Source organism: Homo sapiens, chromosome X (assembly GCF_000001405.40).
Source record: "Homo sapiens chromosome X, GRCh38.p14 Primary Assembly".
Lineage (NCBI taxonomy): Eukaryota > Metazoa > Chordata > Mammalia > Primates > Hominidae > Homo > Homo sapiens.
The window spans coordinates 77,041,453-77,047,242 of NC_000023.11; the positions used below are offsets into that span (position 1 = coordinate 77,041,453).

The window sequence follows — 5,790 nt, forward strand, 5'->3', positions numbered from 1 at the left end:
CAATAGATATAGAAAAGGATTTCAATGAAATTCAACATGTATTCATTTTAAAAGCCATCAACAAACTAGGCATTGAAGAAACATATCTCAAAATAATAAGAGCCATGTATGACAAACCCATAGTCAACATCATACTGAATGAGCAAAACACTGGAAGCATTCCCCTTGAGACCTGTAATAAAACAAGGATGCCCATTCTCACAACTGTTATTCAACATAGTACTGGAAGCCCTTGCCAGAGCGATCACACAAAGGAAAGAAATAAAAGGCACCCAAATAGGAAGAGAGGAAGTCAAACTATCTCTTTTTGCAGACAACATGATTCTACACCAGGTAAATCTCACAGTCTTCACTCAAAAGCTCCTAGATCTGATAACCAATTCCAGCAAAGTTCCAGGCTACAAAATGAATATACAAAACTCCATAGCATTTCTTTCAACGAACAATCTCTAAGCTGACAGCAAAATCAAAAATGCAATCCAACTAATAATCATGATAAAATGAATAAAATACCTAGAAATATAGCTAACCAGGGAGGTGAAAGATCTCTACAATGAGAATTACAAAACAGTGCTCAAAGAAATCAGAGATGACACAAACAAATGGAAAAACATTCTATATTTATGGATTGGAAGAATCAATATTGTTAAAATGGCCATACTGACCAGAGCAATCTATGGATTTGACACTGTTCCTATCAAACTACCAATGTCATTTTTAGCAATTGAAAAAACTATTTTAAAATTCATATGGAACTAAAAAAAGAGCCTGAATAGCCGAAGAAATCCTAAGCAAAAAGAACAAAGCTGAAAGTATAACATTACCTGACTTCAAACTATATTACAAGGCTAAAGTAACCAAAATAGCATAGTACCAGTGCACAAACAGACACACAGAACAATGGAACAGAATAGATATCCCAGAAATAAAGCTACACACATAAAACCAGCTGAACTTTCATAAAGTTTATATAAACAAGCAATGGGGAAAGGGCTCACTATTCAATGAATTGTACTGGGATAACTGGCTAGCCACAGGCAGAATATTAAAGCTGGTCTCCTTCATTACATCATATATAAAAATCAACTCAAATGGGTTTAAGACTTAAATGTAAAACCTACAAATATAGAAACCCTGAAAGCTAACCTAGGCAATACCATTCTAGACATAGGACCTGGCAAAGATTTTATGATGGGTTGCCAAAAGTAATTTCAACAAAACAAAAATTGATAAAAGGGATCTAACTAAACTAAAAAAAATTTCCTCACAACAAAATAAGCTATCAACAGAGTAAGTAGACAACATACGGAATGGGAGAAAATATTTGCAAACTACAAGTCTGACAAAGATCTGACATCCAGAATCTATAAGATACTTAAATGAATTAACAAGCAAAAAACAAACAATCCCACTAAAAAGTGGGCAAAGGATGTGAGCAGACACTTTTCAAAAGAAGACATACATGTGGCCAACAAGCATATGAAAAAATGCTTAACATCACTAATCATTAGGGAAGTGCAATTCAAAACCACAATTAGATGGTATCTCATACCAGTCAGAACGACTACTATTAAAAGTCAAAAAATAGCAGATGCTGGTGAGGCTGTAGAAACATAGGTAGGCTTATACAGTGCTGGTGAGAATGTAAATTAATTCAACCATTGTGGATAGCAGGATGTTGGTTTCTCAGAGACGTAAAAACAGAAGTACCATTGACCCAGCAATCCCATTATTGGGTATATATCCAAAGGAATAAAAATCTTTCTACCATAAAAATCCTTCTGCCATAAAGACACATGTTCATTGCAGCACTATTCACAATAACAAAGTCGTGGAATCAACCTAACTGCCCATTACCGGTGGTCTGGATAAAGAAAATGTGCTATATTTCTTTATCCAGCCATAAGAAAGAATAATGAGATCATGTCCTTTGCAGCAACATAGATGGAGCTAAAGGCTATTGCCCTAAGCAAACCTATGCAGAAACAGAAAACCAAATATCACATGTTCTCACTTTTAAGTGGGAGCTAAACATTGAGTACACATGGACACAAAGAAGGAAAAAACAGACACCAGGGTTTACTTGAGGCTGGAATGTGGGGGGAGGAAGTGGATTGAAAAGCTACCTATTGGGTACTATACTTAATACCTGGGTGATGAAATAATCTGCACACCAAACCTTTATGACATACAATTTAGTGATATAACAAACCTGCGTATGTAGCCCTGAGCCTAAAATAGAAATTTAAAAATTAAAATAATAAGATAAAATTTTAAAAAAGAAATATATAATACAAAAACATATAAACTCTGGCACCAAAATGACAAATTATCAGGCGGAAGGTAACATTCTAGAATTTTTGTATGCTACTGAAGTTAAGTTGTTATTGCTGCAAAATATTCTATTATAACTATAAGATATTTTATGTAAGCCTCGTGGTAACCATAAAGCAAAAACTATAGCATATACACAAAAAATTTAATGAAAGGAATCAAAACAGCACTACAGAAAATAACCAAATCACAAAGATAAACAACAGGAGAAGAAACAAAGGTTCTACAAAACAAGCAGAAAATAGTTAACAAAATGACAGTAGTAAGTCCTTACATGTCAATTACTCTGAATGTCAATGAGTTAAATTCTCCAATCAAAAGATATAGAGTGGCTGAATGGACTTAAAGAAACAAGACGCAACTAACTATATGCTGCCCACAAGAGATCTACGTTAGCCTTAAGGACATAGGCTGAAAGTGAAGGGATGGAAAAAGATATTCCATGACAATGATAATCAAATGAGGGTAGAAGTGGCTATAGTAAAATAGACTTCAATTCAAAAACTGTCAAAAAAAACATGGTCATTATTTAATGATACAGGGCTCAATTCATCAAGAAAATATAACAACTGTACATGTAGATCCACTCAACATTAGAACACCTAAGTATATAAAGCAAACATTAATGAACATAAAGAAAAAATAGATATCAATACAATAATATTGGGGGGCATTAATACCCCACTTTCAACAATGAACAGATTAACCAGACATAAAATTAATAAGGAACTGCTGAAAGTAAACTGCGCTTTAGACAAAATGGACCTAAAGGATATATACAAAACCTTCTATCCAAATGCAGCAGAATACATATTCTTCTCTAGTGTATATGTTACATTCCCCTTGAAAGACCGTATAGTATGTCACAAAACAAGTCTTAACAAATTTAAGAAGATCAAAATTGTATCACATACTGTTTCCCACCACAATGACAGAAAACTAGAAATCAGTAACAATTTTGGAAAATTCACTAATGCGTAAAAATTAAAAAAATGCTCCTGATTAACAAATGTGTCAAGAAGGAAATCAAAAGGGAAATTTTTAAAACCTTGAGAAAAATGACAATGGAAACATAACATGCCAAAACCTATAGATGCAGCAAAAGCAGTTCTAGGAGGGAAATTTATAGTGATAAGTGTCTTCATTTAAAAAGAGAAGATCTCAACTAAATAGCCAAACCTTACGTCTCATGGAAATAGAAAAACAAGAACAAACTAACAGAAAGTGGATAAATTACAACAAACAAATTAGAAATATAAAGGGTCATATGGTCCTTCTGATCTCAGCTGGGCAAATGAAAAAGGGTTATATGAAGCTGTCATAAACAATTATATGCCAAAAAATCTGATAACCTACAGAAAATGTATAAATTTCTAGAAAAAATACAACCTATCAAGGTTGAATCAGGAAGAAACAGAAAGCCTGAATAAACCACTAGCAAAGAGATTGTAATATTAATTGTAAACCTCCCCTCAAAGAGAAGCCCTGGACCAGATGGTTTTACAGCTGAAATCCACCAACAATTCAGAGAAGAATTAATACTAATATTTCTTAAACTCCTCAAAAAAGTATTGTTGGAGAGAATGCTTCCCAACACATCTTATAAGGCCAGCATAACATTGAAACCTAAGCCAGACAAAGACAACACAATGAAAGAACACTAAAGGCCAATATTTCTTATAAACGTCGATGCAGAAATCCTTAATACCATGTTAGCATACTGAATTAAACAGCACATCAAAAAGATTATACATCGTGATCAAGTGGGATTTACCCTGGTATGCACAGCTGGTTTAATACATGCAAATCAATCAATGTGTTGCATCACATCAACAGACTGAAAGACAAAAACAGCATGATCATCAATTGACATAAAAAGTGTTCAACAAAGTTTAATATTCTTTACTGACAAAGACCCTTAACAGTTTAGATATGGAAGGAAAATTCCTCAGCATAATAAAGGCCATTTATGAAAAACCCACAGCTAACATCATAATCAATGAGGAGAAACTAAAAGCCTTTCTTTCCTCTGCTACCTGATGCAAAACAAGGATGGCCACTTTTGCCACTTCTATTCAGCATACTAGTGGGAGTGCTATCAAGAGCAAATAGACAAAAATAAGACCTAAAAAAACAAATCAGAAAGAAAGAAGGAAAATTATCTCCATTTGAAGATGACATGATCATATATGTAGAAACCCCCAAAGACGCCACCAAAAAACTATTAGATCTAATAAACAAATTCAGCAAAGTTGCAGGATATAAAATCAACATACAAAAATCTGTGGCATTTGTATACACATAAGGAATTAACTGAAAAGAAAACCAAGAAACCAATCCCATTTACAATAACATCAAAGAAAATAGAATACTTACAAGTAAATTTATCCAAGGAGGTAAAAAACCTGTACACTGAAAACTACAAAACATTAATAAAATAGGGGGAGGAGCCAAGATGGCCAAATAGGAACAGCTCCGGTCTACAGCTCCCAGCGTGAGCAACGCAGAAGACCGGTGATTTCTGCATTTCCATCTGAAGTACCGGGTTCATCTCACTAGGGAGTGCCAGACAGTGGGCGCAGGTCAGTGAATGCGCGCACCGTGCGCCAGCCGAAGCAGGGCGAGGCATTCCCTCTCTCGGGAAGCCCAAGGGGTCAGGGAGTTCCCTTTCCTAGTCAAAGAAAGTGGTGACAGATGGCACCTGGAAAATCGGGTCACTCCCACCCGAATACTGCGCTTTTCCGACCGGCTTAAAACACGGCGCACCACGAGATTATATCTGGCACCTGGCTCAGAGGGTCCTACGCCCTCGCAGTCTCGCTAATTACTAGCACAGCAGTCTGAGATCAAACTGCAAGGCGGCAGCCAGGCTGGGGGAGGGGCGCCCGCCAATGCCCAGGCTTGCTTAGGTAAACAAAGCAGCCGGGAAGCTCCAACTGGGTGGAGCCCACCACAGCTCAAGGAGGCCTGCCTGCCTCGGTAGGCTCCACCTCTGGGGGCAGGGTACAGACAAACAAAAAGACAGCAGTAACCTCTGCAGACTTAAATGTCCCTGTCTGACAGCTTTGAAGAAAGCAGTGGTTCTTCCAGCACGCAGCTGGAAATCTGAGAATGAGCAGACTGCCTCCTCAAGTGGGTCCCTGACCCCTGACCCCCGAGCAGCCTAACTGGGAGGCACCCCACAGCAAGGGCAGACTGACACCTCACACGGCACAGTACTCCAACAGACCTGCAGCTAAGGGTCCTGTGTGTTAGAAGGAAAACTAACAAACAGAAAGGACATCCACACCAAAAACCTATCTGTACATCACCATCATCAAAGACCAAAAGTAGATAAAACCACAAAGATGGGGAAAAAACAGAGCAGGAAAAACTGGAAACTCTAAAAAGCAGAGCCCCTCTCCTCCTCCAAAGGAACGCAGCTCCTCACTAGCAACAGAACAAAGGTGGACCGAG

General features: G+C 37.2%; 2 annotated features.

Annotated features, from left to right (window-relative positions):
- Nucleotides 4,561–5,061: an enhancer, noted in NCBI's record as "H3K27ac hESC enhancer chrX:76266438-76266938 (GRCh37/hg19 assembly coordinates)". NCBI's record gives its function as "activates a minimal SCP1, AML or CMV promoter by ChIP-STARR-seq in naive H9 embryonic stem cells {active_cell/tissue: H9 hESC(naive)}" and the evidence as "EXISTENCE:reporter gene assay evidence [ECO:0000049][PMID:30033119]".
- Nucleotides 5,062–5,562: an enhancer, noted in NCBI's record as "H3K27ac hESC enhancer chrX:76266939-76267439 (GRCh37/hg19 assembly coordinates)". NCBI's record gives its function as "activates a minimal SCP1, AML or CMV promoter by ChIP-STARR-seq in naive H9 embryonic stem cells {active_cell/tissue: H9 hESC(naive)}" and the evidence as "EXISTENCE:reporter gene assay evidence [ECO:0000049][PMID:30033119]".